The 15,878-nt window shown below is 38.5% G+C and overlaps 1 protein-coding gene and 1 long non-coding RNA gene across 17 annotated transcripts in view, besides 4 other annotated features; one reads left to right on the forward strand and one right to left on the reverse strand.

Moving 5' to 3' along the window:
- The window catches only part of LOC107984311 (uncharacterized), a 27,287-nt gene extending 19,551 nt beyond the window's left edge, over nucleotides 1-7,736 (reverse strand). Inside the window, exons 1-2 of the long non-coding RNA XR_001748134.3 lie at nucleotides 7,070-7,736; nucleotides 5,414-5,452 (exon numbers count right to left, since the gene is read on the reverse strand). This is a non-coding gene — a long non-coding RNA (uncharacterized LOC107984311). The remainder of the gene's footprint in view (nucleotides 1-5,413; nucleotides 5,453-7,069) is intronic.
- Nucleotides 6,943-7,808: an enhancer, noted in NCBI's record as "H3K27ac hESC enhancer chr11:11862595-11863460 (GRCh37/hg19 assembly coordinates)". NCBI's record gives its function as "activates a minimal SCP1, AML or CMV promoter by ChIP-STARR-seq in naive H9 embryonic stem cells {active_cell/tissue: H9 hESC(naive)}" and the evidence as "EXISTENCE:reporter gene assay evidence [ECO:0000049][PMID:30033119]".
- Nucleotides 7,591-7,760: an enhancer, noted in NCBI's record as "active region_4459". NCBI's record gives its function as "activates an Ori minimal core promoter by ATAC-STARR-seq in GM12878 lymphoblastoid cells {active_cell/tissue: GM12878}" and the evidence as "EXISTENCE:reporter gene assay evidence [ECO:0000049][PMID:35858748]".
- Nucleotides 7,809-8,672: an enhancer, noted in NCBI's record as "H3K27ac hESC enhancer chr11:11863461-11864324 (GRCh37/hg19 assembly coordinates)". NCBI's record gives its function as "activates a minimal SCP1, AML or CMV promoter by ChIP-STARR-seq in naive H9 embryonic stem cells {active_cell/tissue: H9 hESC(naive)}" and the evidence as "EXISTENCE:reporter gene assay evidence [ECO:0000049][PMID:30033119]".
- Nucleotides 7,867-15,878, forward strand: part of USP47 (ubiquitin specific peptidase 47) — a 119,916-nt gene continuing 111,904 nt past the window's right edge. For all 16 annotated transcript variants that reach the window (NM_001372095.1, NM_001372093.1, NM_001372094.1 and 13 more), the window contains exon 1: nucleotides 7,867-8,119. Coding sequence is in view for 10 of the 16 variants with exons in the window: in NM_001330208.2 (NP_001317137.1) it covers nucleotides 8,081-8,119 (39 nt within the window). In the remaining 6 variants the exon portion in view is untranslated. The remainder of the gene's footprint in view (nucleotides 8,120-15,878) is intronic.
- Nucleotides 7,971-8,110: an enhancer, noted in NCBI's record as "active region_4460". NCBI's record gives its function as "activates an Ori minimal core promoter by ATAC-STARR-seq in GM12878 lymphoblastoid cells {active_cell/tissue: GM12878}" and the evidence as "EXISTENCE:reporter gene assay evidence [ECO:0000049][PMID:35858748]".

A 15,878-nucleotide genomic window follows, 5' to 3' on the forward strand; every position in this document is an offset into this window, starting at 1 on the left:
GCCACTGCACTACAGCCTGGCCAAAAGGAGACTGTCGCAGACAAAAAAAAAAAAAAAAGCAAAGGATCTAGAGCAGGGCTCAATCTATATATTCAACCAATTTTTTTTTTTTTTTTTGAGACAGGGTCTCTCTCGTCACCCAGGCTGGAGTCCAGTTGTGTGATCTCGGCTCACTTCAGCCTCGACCTCCCAGGCTCAAGGGATCCTCCCACTTCAGCTTCCTGTGTAGCTGAGACTACAGGGGTGCACCACACCCGGCTAATTTTTTATTTTTTTGTAGAGATGGGGTCTCCCGATGTGGCCTAGGCTTGTCTTGAACTCCTGGGCTCAAGTGATCCTCTTGCGGCAGCTTCCCAAAGTGCTGGGATTACAGGCGTTAGCCACTATGCCTGTCTATTCAACCAATCTCTTTTTTTTTTGAGAGTTTCACTCTTTTGCCCAGGCTGGAGTGCAATGGTGCAGTCTCAGCACACTGCAGCTCACTCAGCCCCGCCCCAGGTTCAAATGATTTTCCTATTTCAGCCTCCTGAGTAGCTGGTATCATAGGCGCCCGTAACCATGTCCGGCTAATTTTTTTTTTTTTTTAGTAGAGATGGGGTTTCACAATGTTGGCCAGGCTGGTCTTGAACTCCTGACCTCAGGTGATCCACCTGCCTTGGCCCCCTAAAGTGCTAGGATTACAGGCGTGAGCCACCGCACCCGGCCTCAACCAATCTTAACTGCTGTAGTTTTGTGATTATTATTACTTTCTTTACTAGTTACTATAACAACCTTGTGAAGAGAGGCTGTTATCATCCCCATTTTACAGATAAGAAAACTGAAGCTTGGTGGATTTAAGAGATCTACCCAAGGCATGTCACACAGTTAATAATAATAGAGGTAGGATTCAAATTCAAATAATGTATTTTCAGCTTACTCTTTCAACCACTTAGCTCTTTGGTCTTCTGTACTCTGGCTAACGTATAAAGTTCAAATTTCCTTTCTATCACAATTACGCTACATGTCATGGACTTTTCCAGTCAACATGGCAAATGTTAAACTGATAAATGCCAAGGGTCTACTTTATTGCCCCCATTTTATAGTTGAGAAAATGGAGGTTCAGACAGGTCTTATATGGAGGAAGTGGCAGAGTTTGGATTTCAAAACAGGTAAATCTGGCTCCAAAGCCACATTACACTGACTAAAGATTTTCTCCTTAACCTTATTAAAACATAGTCATGGTGAAATTTTCCTTTCATTTTTATAATACACATTTAACCTTCTATTTTCACTGGTTCTTAAATTGTATAATGTGACTTTGACTACATGCTTAGACTTGTGCAGTGAAGAGTCTTGAAATATAAAAGAAAGAAAATAAAATCTTAAGTATTGCCATGAACATTTAAAAATATACCTTTTATTTTGGAATAATTTTATGCTTTCAAGGAAGTTACAAAGATAGGACAAAGAGTCTGTATATACCTCCTCCACTTTCCCCCACTGCTTATATCTTGCATTACCACATTACACTTATAAAAACTAAGAAACTATCAGCAATGAACAAGTGGAATTTGAAATATAAAACACATTACCATTTACATTAGAACCCCCCAAAATCATACTTACATATAAATCTAACCAAATATGGATGATATATATATATATATATATATATATATATATATATATATATATATGGAAAGTGACAAAACTCTAATGAAAGCTATCAAAGAACTAAATAAAGGAAGAGATATTCCATGTTCATGGATAGGAAGACTCAAAATTGTCAAGATGTCAGTTTTTCTCAACTTGATCTACAGATTCAGTGCAATCTCAATCACAATTCTGGCAAGTTATTTTGAGGATATTGACAAACTGATTCTGAAGTTTATATAGGGAGGCAAAAGACCCAGAATAGCCAACTCAATATTGAAGAAGAACAAAGTCAAAGGGCTGACTTCCAGACTTACTTTAAAGCTACAGTAGTCAAGACAGTGTGGCATTGGTGAAAGAATAGACAAACAGATTAATGGAACATAATAGAGAGCCCAGAAATAGACCCACGTAAATATAGGCAACTAATCTTTGACAAAGGAGCAAAGGCAATATAATGGAGAAAAAAGTCTTTTCAACAAATGGTGCTGGAACAATTTTATGTTCACATGCAAAGAAACAAATCTAGCCACGGACCTTATACTGTTCACAAAAATGAACTCAAAATGGATCATAGACCTAAATGTAAACTTTAAAACTATAACACTCCTAGATGATAACAAAGGAGAAAACCTAGATGACTTTGCGTTTGGTGATAACTTTTCAGATACACCACCACAGACATGATCCATGAAATAAGTAATTGATAAGCTGGGCTTTGTTAAAATTAAAAATTTCTGCTGTGTGACAGACAATGTCAAGAGAATGAGAAGACGAGGCACCGATAGGGAGAAAATGTTTACAAATGACACATCTGATAAAGAACTGTTATCCAAAATATACCAAGAACTATTAAAAGTCAATAATAAGAAAATGAACAACCCAATTAAAAAAATGGGCAAAAGACCCGAACAGACACCTTACCAAAGAAGATAAGTATATGAAAAGATGTTCAACACCATATGTCATTAGGGAATTGCAAATTAAAACAAGGAGAGATACCACTATACATGTATTAGAATGGTCAAAATCAAAACTCTGATGATGTCAAATACTGGCAAAGATGTGATGGAGTAACGGGAACTCTCATTCATGGATGGTGGGAATGAAAAATGGCACAACCACTTTGGAATGTTTAGTTTTGTAAAACTATGCAGTTTTGTTTTTTTTTTTACAAAACTATGTAAAAAACAATGTAAACAAACTATGTAAAAAAACTATGTAAAACATGCAGTTTTTTTGTTTTTGTTTTTTTTACAAAACTAAAAATACCCTTATTGTGCAATCTATCAGTCATGCTCTTTGGTACTTACCAAAATGAATTGAAAATTTACACATACACAAAAATGTGCATATAGATGGTTGTATTTACTTTATTGGTAATTGCCAAAACTTGGAAGCAACTAAGATGTCTTTCAGTAGGTGAATGGATAAATGAACTGTGGTACATCCAGATGATCGAATATTATTCAGTGCTAAAAGGAAATGAACTATCAAGCCATGAAAAAACATGGAGGAAACTTAAATGCATATTACTAGAAGAAATAGCCAATTTGAAAAGCCCACATACCATGATTCCAACACTCTGGAAAAGGTAAACCTATGAAGACAGTAAAAAGATCAGTGAATGCCAGGAGTTAGGAGAGACAGAGGGATTAATAGGCAGAACACAGCAGATTTTGAGGGCGGTGAAACTATTCTGTATTATACTGCAATGGTGGATATATATCATTATATATTTATCAAAACACATGGAATGTACAACACCAAGAACGAACCCTAATGTAAACTATGGACTTTGGATGATAATGATATATCAATGTAGGTTCATCAGTTGTAACAAATGTACCACTGTGGTGGCAGCTGTCAATAGTGGAGAGGGTGTGTGTGTAGGGACAGTGGGTGTATGAGAACTCTCTGTGCTTTCAGCTCAATTTTGCTGTAAACCTAAAATTGCTCTAAAAAATAAAGTTTAATTACAATTTCTTCTCATTTACTATTTAAATATAGTCTTTGCTGTGAATAATAAAAACAAAGGCTGGGCACGGTGGCTTATGCCTGTAATCCCAGCACTTTGGGAGGTCGAGCGGGTGGATCACCTGAGGTCAGGAGTTCGAGACCAGCCTGGCCAACATGGTGAAACCCTGTCTTTACTAAAAACAAAAATCTGCTGGGCGTGGTGGTATGCACCCGTAATCCCAGCTACTCAGGAGGCTGAGGCAGGAGAATCGCTTCAACCCAGGAGGCAGAGGTTGCAGTGAGCCAAGATCACACCACTGCACTCCAGCCTGGGCAACAAGAGCAAAACTCCATCTCAATAATAATAATAATAATAATAATAAAGTGTATTAAATTTTTTAAAAACATTTTAAAAACTAAGAAATGAATATTAGTACATAAATATTAACCAAATACACATTTTATTTGAGTTTTACCATTTTTTTTTGTTAACGGCTTCTTCCTGTTTCAGGATCCAATTCAGAGTGCCACATTGCATTTACTTGTCATATTTCCTCAGTTTCCTCTGGTCTATGACAGTGTCTCAGTTTTTCATTGTTTTTCATGACCTTAACAGTCTTGAGGAATACTGACCAGGCATCCTGTAGAATGTCCTCCAAACTGGGTTTGTGTGATTTTTTTTCATACTTTGACTGGGGTTATACTATGAACATTTTCATTTGAAAAGGAAAAGGAAAATATTCCCAAAGAAATTATAAGAAAAATCATCAGCCTCTGACCTACACCAGTCTTGGCATTTGGTTTTTGTTTTTAATTCAACACCAATTTATTAATGACCTACTATGTGCTAGGCATTGTTCTAGACATTGAGGATGCATTATGGACAACCAGTTTAGATTGGATTATCATAAAAGGCCTTTTCGAAGATTTAACATTTGAGAAGCCCAAATGACAAGATTGAACTAGATAAGAGAAAAGATCTACGGGAAGAATATTTCAGGGAAAGGAAATAACTACTACAAAGGCTTTGGGGCAGAGACAAACTTTATGTGTTTAAAAAGCTCAATAAAGGCAAAGTGGCTGGGTCATTGGGCGTAAGAGGAAGAGTGGCAGATGACTGGAGCAAGACAGATGGGTTTGATTACATTGGATCTCACAGGCTATAGCAAAGAATATGAATTTTATTCTAAGAGGGATGAGATGTCTTTGGAAGATTTGGAAGGGATATGACATATTTTTGAAAGATCACTCTGGTTGCTCTATGGAATATGGATTGTTGAGGGATAAGATTAGAAACAGGAACCCAGTTAGGAGGTAACTGCAGTAGTACAGGCAAAAGAATAAAGTAATTGGAGTGGGATGTGCAGTAGTAGATAGAAGGAAAAGTGGATGGATTTGAGATGTGTTTCAGAGGTGGAAGCAACAGCCCATATGAAGGGATTGAATGTAAGATGAAGAGTGTCAGGTTTTTGGTTTGATAAACTGAATTGATGACAGTGTAATTTATCAAGGTGGAGAAGAACTGATAGAGGATATGTTGCAGGAGGTAGGGGAGGCTTGGAAATCAAATGTTCTGTTCAGGTCAAGTTTAAATTTGGGAGGTATTGAGCCATTAAAAAGGTAGATATATGAGTTTACAGCCTATAGGAGAGGTGAGGACAAGGGACGTAACATTTACATATAAAGTAAATAAACACATATCCATGTAATCTCAGTAATAATATATTAGGAAGAGTAGCCATATATTTGTATTTGTCCATTTATTCATTAATCAATTCATGAATCCACATACTTATTCCACAAATATTCATTGTATACTTACCATCTTATCAGGCTCTCCTGCAATAGTCAAGCCAGTGGCCTATAAAGAAAAGAGTGTGCAATCAGAAAAGGGGGATTGTAGGAAGAAAATGTTAGACTTTCTTTTTATATTTATTTTAATCTAAAAACGCAAAATTAAATCTTACTTATATTGAATATATAAACACCAGCATCTCACTACTCCTGAGTGAGAAGTGTGAGTTCTGCAATGTAGAGAATTCAGAGATTCCTTCATTTTCTTTTAGTATGTTGTCACTTATTCCAGTTTATGTGGGCTGGGTTAAGTAGATTTATCAATTACATTCTTATTTCATTATATCAACCTTTACTAAAATGAAAGTGACTAAAAAGGATTTCTGGAAAGACAACATGAGTTTGAAATAATATTGCAAGCATAAGCAAAAAAGATGACAGAGATGACATTTTTACTTCTAGGGTGAGCACTACAGCACTGGCCAGCACTACAGAAGACACCTTACTAAGTCATGGGATGACATTTTGAAAATAAAAGTTTGGAAATATTTCCATCATGTGATTTTGATGCAAAAATGATATATGTGAGCCACCCAAGTCTGGGACTATGGTGAAGCAAATGGTTTTCAAGGTGAAAACCGTTCACCTTGGGCACAAAATTTAAGGGGGGGGTGCCAAAAATTCAATAATCAAGACAACTAATCTTAATACAATATTTTAAAAAGTCAAAATTTATCTTAATCAATCCATGATAATCAAAATATCAAAACCTTAAAGACAAGATCTATAACTCCCAAAACTCATACATGAATACTTAAAACTTGAAGATAGAAATTTTCAACTTCTTAAAAATCTTCTAAGCAATTTATTCCAAAGAGCTTTGAACCCATTTGTAAAAATATAAAAATGCAACATCTTCTGGTTGACATCAGGAAAGATGGAACACTACTAGCTGAATTTCAATAAAAACCTTTGCATGGTTGTTGGATGGAATGGATAAAAATGAAACTTTTTTCATATCAGTTTTTTTTTTTAAATCGTTCTAAACATGCATTAGGAAGAGTGGCCAAAGATGTACTTCCTCCTTTAGGATCTACATCTTTGTGAGTTACCTTTTTTTCAGCTTATGACAGCCATTAAAACCAAGTACAAAAATAACCTGACGTTCAATCAGATATTTTAATAACTATTTCACGAAGTATTAAAGATTTTTAAAACTAACGAAACCTAGTCAATCATATTGATTTCCTTAAATATTTTTAGTGAGAATAACAAAGATTTTTATACCATTAATATGGAAAATAACTAAGTTATTTTAAATGTTTATGTCATCTTTGTCTTAGCCTTTTTACATTTTACAAATGTTTTATAATTCTGCACACAGCAGGACACGTATAAAACTTATATAAGTATATGGATTTTTTTTTGGTAACGGGATTACAATAAAAAAAAGTTTGGAGAACACAAGTGCAGGCAGTTAATGCTGTGGGTGTTAGGAACATGACAAGATTATATTATCTCAGCATGCTGTAAGATCACTGTATCCATAAAAGTCTTCATGAAGGAGCCCCGCCGAGTCTCCATAATGGAAGCAGGATTTGGAGAAATGACTTCTGCAAACTTTGTTTAGTATAACACAAAGCACCATGCTTACTACTAGAGAAGATTAAAATTCTCTAAAAACCTTGTTAACGGAGATCACAGGTTGAAGCATACTGCAGCTCTACTCTTGGAAGGCTAGCTCAGTCTCAGACTTGGCCCTGATGGAGAAGGAAGTTCCCTGGAAGAGGGCAGGGGAGCGCCTCTCCAATGTAGTTGCGGGGGGCGGGCGGTGAGGACACCGCTTCATAAGGGAAGGGGTGGCTGCCTCCCCAAGCAGGGGGTGGCCCCTGAGGTCCCTCCAGCTGGGGGCCCTTGAGAGGGAGGGTGGGGAGAGGGGAAAAGAACGTCAGGAGAGTGAACGGGAGCAAATAAAACGCTGTCCATTCTGACTGGAAGGGCCAGAGCCGTGTCTAAGGGCGGGGGCCGGGAGGTGGCCCGCGGTGGTGTCTCTACCAGGACGAGGCCTGGGGTATCTGAAGAGGGGATGACGTCCAGGCGCTTTGCTAAAGGGAAGCCAGAAGGGTATGAGTTGCTAGGGTCAGAGATGGGGCTTTCGGCTCGAGTCTTTCCCTGCAGGGCAGAGAGTCCGAAGAGCCCGAGAAGGCAGGGAGGACAGTGGGCCTGGTCCTTCCCCGGCCGGCAGAGGGAGTCCCGAGATGGAACGTCCAGCTCTCCTCTAACGAAAAGCGTTTGCATGGCTGTCTCGCCAATTCTGTACCTCCCGGGGCTGAGGAAGAGCCGAGGTGACTAGAAGCTAGCGACAAGTGCCGGCCACCTCCGACGCCAGGCGCCGGGCTTGGAGCCCGACGGGCCGAATTCTCGCGAGAGCGGCCGCCGCCATTTTTCCATTGATTGCAGCGGGCTGGGGGAGGGGCCGACGACGAAGGCGGCTGTGGTAGCGGCGGCGGCGGCGGCGGAGCCCTGGGTCGGTGTCTGCGCGCTGGTGTCTGAGGCCCAGGCTGAGGCCTCCGCTATTGCTGGAGCGCAGGCGGCGGAGAGGATGACTGCCGCTGCCATTCTCTCTTGAGCTAGCGAGCCGCCGCCACCCTCCACCCTCCCCCGGCAGGGCGGAGAGGAGCGGCCGGAGTCAGCGATGGTGCCCGGCGAGGAGAACCAACTGGTCCCGAAAGAGGTGAGGGGCCCCAGAGGAGGTTAGGCCTTAGGCCTGCGGCCGCTCGAGGCAACACAGGCCCGGGCCGGGGTTCGGCTGCGGGCCCGGCCGGGGTGCAGGCTCGGCTGTGGGGGAATGAGGAGGCGTGAGGCAGTCGGGGGTGGACGGTGGGTGCGGCGAGCAGTTGGGAGACCCGCTGGCTCTAGGGGCCGGGGAGCGGACCTCCCGCCTCGGGTTTTATGGGGCTGGACGAATAAAGGAGCGGACGGGAAAGAATCAGGTTCTGCTCTAGGGGAGAAGGTGGCCTTTTAAGTTCTTGTTTAACGTGTGGAGCCGGGAGAGATCATTTCAAAGAAAACATTCTGGAACAGTTGCCTATGGGCACGGCAGGGTGACGGTGCTGCTTCTGGGTTTGACAGTGGCAGCGTATAGCTTTCAGCGCTTGTGAAATCTACACCCAAGTGAGATCTGTGGGAGGGCAGACTTAACTGTTACGACTTTTTTCAACTCCTGTTACTTGGTAGTACTATTGGCCTGCCTAAATGGGGCCTACCGAAGATCGTGGAAAAGTAGTACATGGGACATTAATGTAAAGGAAGGAGATAGGAGAACATTACCACATGGAGAGCTGAACTCTTTTTTTTTTTTTTTTTTTTTGAGGTTGGGTTGTGTATGCCAATTTGAGTGACTTCTTAAATTCTTAAAAGCAAGTGATACGAGAAGCCTTGACTACTTGGCTTCTCTTGAATAGTAGTAGAAGATTTAGGGTAGAATCCAGCACTGGCCAGCGAATTTCAACGTATTAATAGTATCTCTGTTGGCTTTATAAATATCTTCGGCGTATTCAAATGTGTATTTTTAACTGGCTGATCATCAGGCTAATGCTTTGGATTTTTATTTCTCATATACCTTAAATAGAGACAAGTGTTGGATTGAAATTAACTGTGTGCGATCTTGAAATTAATGAGTGATCATTACAGATTCTTAAATTTTTTTGTGCCTGTTTTACTTGTTTTGTAGCAATTCTTTGTTACTTAAGCAAGCTCTGACAGTATGCAAGGGTGATATTATTGGAGTTATGTACCTGTATGATACAAGTATTTTCCCAGCTTTGTCAGAAGGGCAGTGATAGTTGTTTTGCAAGGACGATTTTTGTAAAAGGCAGAGAGTTATGTGTCAGTATTTGTTCATCAAGCGTCACCAACTCTGTGCAAAGCAGATAAACAGATGAGTTAATCAGAATTCTTGCCTTGGGAACTTTCTGAGCTACTAAGAAAGGGAACACTAGTGTTTGTTGAACTCCAATTAGGGACTAGGTACTTTACCACGTAAGTAATTCTTATGCAAGGAAGGAAGTGATAGGTGCTGTAAGAAAGGTATAAATGTGTATTTCATTTTAGAGCTTCATATTGCTGGTTTTCATTTTTATAAAAAACAAAATTCTTTCTTAATTTTTTGACCATTAGAAAAATATCATATAGGTGGAACTCTGCTTTAAGAAAACCCAACATTAGATTTATTTCCCTAATAACTTGATTTATAGAAAACATGATATGATAATAGATACCGAGCTTTGCAGAAACATCTGTTGTGTAAAAAGTGATAACAGCAACGGAAGTTTAAAGATTAAATGCCTGTCCTTTTAAGATTAATTCCCTTCCCTGAGGCTTTAAATTCATCACAACTTATGTTTTTTCCCTTTCTTCTTTTTATGGACCATATGCCTTTATTGTCTATTCCTTAGTCTCATCTTCAGTCTTCTTTTTCCCTGGTTCCTTTCATGATTCCTGGAAGCATGATCTGTGGTTCTTACCTTTTATAGCTAGCCAACTAGCTTTTTCTTCTTTGATGGCCACACTCATTCTTTATTAAAGTGATTGCCTCCAGTTCCATATTTGCTTCTGGATTACTGGAAACTTTTTCTGAAAATCACCAGTTATCTCTTAAATGACCAAATTCTTTGACTTTTTTTTTCTTGCCTCTTCTGCTGTTCGAATTCTCTGCAGGATCTGATAGTTTTTTTAAAAAAACAATTTCTTGATTTTAGTGATACTCCACTTTTCTGGTCATTTTCCCACCTGTTTGTCCTATCTGCCCACTCATTTAGTCAAGGCCTTTCTCTTCTTTTTTGTATTCTTAATTGGCACTTTTGTGTGATCCTTGAAGCTCCGGGACAGGTCCTTTTAAACAGTAGTAGAATCATACAGTGCTAGAGCTAAGAGAAAGCATAATCATCATCTAAGTTACCCCTCCACTTTACAGTTAAGGGAGTTAGGCCCAGAAGATTGAAAGTGACTTGTTCAGGGTCAAATAATGAGTAAATGGCAGACCTAGTGCTAGAACTCACTTCCTTTGCTACTATTCCCTTGATTATACCCTATTTTACAGAGCCCTACATGTAATTTAGAGGCTCTGTAAGAATAGTTTGTAACTCTCTAAGTACATATATATGTGAAAATAAATGGCAAATTAAAAAATTTCATGCATTTATTTTAATGGCTTATTATCAATAATCTAAAGATTTTTTTTTTTTGAGGGCCTTTGTATAGGGAACCTCTGACCCCTGCTAGATTTAGATCTTGGTTAGATGTGGGCATGTGTGCGTGCGTGTGTTGGAGTGTATAGTTGTTCAGTGAATAATATATTTTGGTCCCTGAAACTCAAGGACAAATGTACCTTTAGAGGACTCTTGAAGAAGACAGCTTAGTGTAGTACAGGCATTGGCAAACCACGGCCTGTGGTCCAGATCAGTTCACAGCCTGGTTTTGTATGGCCTGTGAGTTAAGAATGAGTTTTACATTTTCGAATTGTTGAAGAAAAAAAGTCAAAAGAATTATAATAGTCTGTGACACATGAAAATAATGTGTAATTCAAATTTTAGTCTTGAAACAGCTATGCCATTTATTTAGTATTTTGTATGGCTACAACAGCAGAGATGAGTAGTTGCTACAGAGACTCTATGCAGGATAAATTTGAAATTACTTAGCTTGGTATTCAAGGCCCAGTACCATTGATTCTGGCCACAACCTGTCCTTCCAGCTTATCTCTTCTCCCATGAAACAGGTTTTTAATGTAGTCAAACAGGTTTCTCTCTAACTTGCATTTCACTTCTGTTTGTGCTGCCCCCTCCTTCCTGTTCAAAACCTTCATACACATTTTTCCATAAGTACCTCATATCTCATTTATGCTAAATAGCCTTTTCTGACCATTTTAACCTTAGAGATTTCTCCCTCTTAGAAGACCTTTATATAGGAATAGAATTCATTTGGCAATTACTAGATGGTGCTTGGCGACATCTATTATGATCTGAAACTGTAATCTACATTTTATATATTATTTGTTGTGAATTCCTTGACAGCAAAGACTTGGTATGTTTCTCTGTCTTTGCTTTTTGTTTTTGTAGGTTTTGTACTATAGGTTTAAGACAGTGTCTTTCCTGGAGCAGATATTCAGTAAATATTCGTTGATGTGGTGACAGAGTTGTAAGTAAATTTAGCATTCTAACCAATTATCCTGTCCTTGGAGGTTTTCCACAGCATCATTGGCAAGCTATTTGCCAACTTTTGCTTTAATACATACTTCTATGACTAATCTTTGATAAAATCTTTGTCTTAGAAGAGATCTGTTATTTTTAAGTTTTTGAGTTGAGAGAAGTCTAGATCTCTATAGCTGCCATCTTTTGATAGTTGCCTTACAGAAATGTTAAAGCATTTCCCATAGGATAGTTTTTCTCATCATTGAAGATGGGAGAGGGTAGCCTGAGAACTGACCTTTTCTGTTCTGAGTCTGAGCTTCCTCAGTTCTTTAACTGTTTCTTAGTTCCTCTCTTTTGGACATAATCTGGGGTTTTTAGTATTCCTCCTAAATTGTTGTACCCAGAAAGAGCAAAGAGAGTGGTATCTCTTCATTGTGGTGAAGAACAGAGCTTTTCACCCGTTTCATTCTGCCGTATGTCTTTGAATTGTAGTATATTGATTTCTGCTTTGAGGTCTCTTTTAATAGCATCCCAATTTTAATTATTGTTTGGTTGCTATTTTGTTATTCTGTTTTCTTATAAGGATGTGTGTCATTAATATTCATTGAGTACTCACTGTGCATATTACTGTATTCTGCCAAATAGGAAAAACTTAGAATAGAAAAATTTGTTCTTCTCTCAAGTGTCTTATAGAATGATCAAGGATAAGGTGCATATTTACTGATGCTTTAAAAATAATACTTAAACTGCAGTACTTAAAGTAGTGCTCATGGACTCTAAATCCAGAGAAAATGGAAAAAATGAAGGAAAAAGAGTAGAAATGTAAATTCTTTATCTCTGGGTTTTTTTCTCCTGTCTTTCATGCAATCACTACTTCTGTCTGGAACTGGTTTTGGCATCTAATGATGATGATGATAGTAATAACCAGTATTTATTGAGCATTTATTTATATACCAGATACTGTTGGTTGTGCTTTGTATTAACTCATTTGAGCTTCACAGCAACCTCAGAGTACATAAGACACATTGATAGCAAAAACAACTTATTTTTATTTCTATTGTCTGACTTCTTATAAAATCCATTCATCAGTATCTATTATGGAACATGTCAAATGCATATTCTTTTAATTTTATTTCTCCTAATTAAATTACCTGAGGAAATGTGCTGCAATTGTCATTCTTGATTTTAGTGATTCTTTTAAAATGAGGCTTTTTCTTAAATTTCAGATGTTGACTCTCTCTTACCAGTAAGAGACAAGTTTGTCAAGTTATACCCGCCAGCGTTTTAAACAAATTGGAGTGTTTAATAAAAGTCAGTATTTTAGATATCATTGGAAATGCTCATTTAATGAATGAAAGCAAAAGCTGAATGCAGAATTGTATATGATTCTAATTTTGTCCAGGAAAAAATGAACAATTTAGGGTTAAATGCGTTGAAAGATTAGAAGGAATACACTAAAATATTAAGAGTTGCTATTTCTGAATTTCTGGATTATTGGGATATATATTTAGACTTTCATATTTAAAAATGAGCATGTACATTATTTTCAAAAACAGAAATTGAGATGATCTGATTGTAGTTTTGGGGGTATTTACATAGTGTTTTTTTTTTTTGTGCTCACAGTTTTCCTATTTCCCCTCTCCTCTTACTCTGTATATTTGTCTTGAGTAATCGGATCCACTTGTATAGCTTCAACCTTTGATTGTGATTTACACATTTATATCTCCAGCCCTGACCCCTTCTAGATTCAGATTTCCACTGTTCTGGATATCTGTACTTGGTTGTACTCTAGGACCCACAAATTAAATATAGGTAATATCGAACTTATTTCTCCTTCCCTTCTCACAACCCAATTCTTGGTGTTCTCCTGTTTCAGTTAGTGTTATCGCCATCTATTTATATGCTTAAGTTAGAACAGTTTTTGACTCCTCTCTTTTCCTTTTTCTCACATATAGTTCACCACTTAGAAAATGTCTCTGTATCCTTATCTTTCTCTCCATGGCTCTGCCTTTGTCTAATTATTGTTATTTTCTCCAATGTGTAGCCTTTCTAATTGGTCAGTCTGCTTCCAAGGCCTTTCCTTTCTTAACCATCCTCCCCACAACTGCCAGGGTTACTTTCTAAAACAGATGAGATTAAGATTTACCTGTTTTAAAGTTTATAATTATTACCCTCTGATTGCAATTTGAATGATAGGTACTATTTGTAAACAGTATGTGCTAGACACTATGCTAACCAGTTCACTTACATTATCTCATTTGACAGTATGACAGTATTAGCTATTATTCTTCATTATCCATTTTACACATGAAGAAACTAGGCTTAAAGATGCTAAGTAACTTGCTCAAAGTTACATAGCTATTTGATTCTAAATCAAGGTAGCTTTAACCAGTAGGAAAGTCCTTGATAATATGGATTCAGTTGATTTTTTAAATTTAATTTTTATCAAAGTTATGTTTAATACATGCATATATTTATAAGAGTTAAATAGCTCTGCAGAACTATAGTCACTTGTCACTTAATGATGAGGACCTATTCTGAGAAATGTATCATTAGACATCATTTGAACATGATACAGTGTGCTTGCACAAACCTAGATGGTTTAGCCTGCTACACACCTAGGCTATATGGCATTGCCTGTTGCTCCTAGGCTACAGCATGTTACTGTACTGAATACTGTAGGCAGTTGTAATACATCATAAGTCTTTGTGTGTTCAAACATACAGAAGGTACAGTAAAAATATGGTATTTGTAATCTTATGGGACCACTGTCATCTTTGTGATTGTTGACCAAAATGTCTTTATATGGCACATGACTATATTTACAAAAACAGTAGGTCTCTGCAAATTTCCCCTCATTTCAGGCTGCCTAGGGGCAACTGCTTTCAACTCATTCTTTTGATACTTACTTCCATATTTGAAACTGGCATTTTTTTTTTTTTTTTTTTTGAGACGGAGTCTCACTCTGTCACCCAGGCTGGAGTGCAGTGGTGCGATATCACCTCATTGCAACCTCTGCCTCCCGGGTTCAAGCGATTCTCCTGCCTCAGCCTCCTGAGTAGCTGAGACTACAGACGCGCGCCACCACACCTGGCTAATTTTTTGTATTTTTAGTAGAGATGGGGTTTCACAGTGTTAGCCAGGATGGTCTTGATCTCTTGACCTCGTGATACGCCTGCCTCGGCCTCCCAAAGTGCTGGGATTACAGGCGTGAGCCACCATGCCCAGCCGAAACTAGCGTTTTTATAGTGTTACTTCTTGATTTTTCAGTTTAAGATATTTTTCAGTTTAAGTAAAAATGAGGGTTTACCACTATCCCCAACCACACACAAGCACACATTTTAACCCTGCCCAGTACTCCCAATATTGTCATACTGCAAGTCGTTTGGATACATCCGCATTTCATAGAGATGGAGTTTCACTATTATTGCACAAGCTGGTCTTGAACTCCTGGGCTTAAGCAATCCTCCTGCCTCAGCCTCCCAAAGTACTAGGGCTATAGGCGTGAGCCACCATGCCCAGCCTGTATACATCAGTATTTCAGTTTATAATGACTCCATTTTCACCATGTTAGCTAGGCCAGAGTTAGTAATTTTTAACAATTTTGCTTTGCTTAGTTTTCTGTATACTTATTAAATTAGCCAAGTGGTTATCAATTGGGGCCCATTTTCTCTCCAGAGGACATTTGGCAATGTTGGGGGAGGGGAGGAGAGTGCGGGTGTGTGCTACTGACATCTAGTGGGTAGAAGCCAGGTATGCTGCCAAATATTCTTCTGCACTGCACAAGACAGCCTCCTGTAACAAAGAATTAGAAGGCCCACAATGTCAGTAGAGCTGTTGTTGAGAAACCCTGATTTAGCCCAAACTATCTCTCAAGTGTATAAATGGCTTATCTTCAAACCTACCAATTTTGACTTCGTGAGAAGCTCTTTCCCAGGGCCTTCTGACCTACTCCAGTTTGAACTTGTTAAAGCTAGAACTTTTGTGCAGCTGTTGTCTTGGACTTGCTTTACTGTCATCTTTATGATTCTCTCAGTTCTGTCTTGTTTTGGAGCCCCTGTTTCTGTATCTGGTATCTTTGGCTGTCTTTGTTTACTTTCTCATTTTGAAGGGCCACTTTCAATAGTTCTCTGGATGGGATAGAATTTTTTCAAGACTATACATGTCTGTAAATGTTTTTTCTCCCCTCTTGTTTTATGGATAGTTTGGCTGGGCAGAGAACTCTGAGTCAGAAATAATTTTTTCTCAGAATTTTGAAGGCATTGCTCTACTGTCTTCTATTTTTCTGTGTCGATGTTGAGATCA

This window comes from Homo sapiens, chromosome 11, assembly GCF_000001405.40.
Source record: "Homo sapiens chromosome 11, GRCh38.p14 Primary Assembly".
In the NCBI taxonomy this organism is placed as follows: domain Eukaryota; kingdom Metazoa; phylum Chordata; class Mammalia; order Primates; family Hominidae; genus Homo; species Homo sapiens.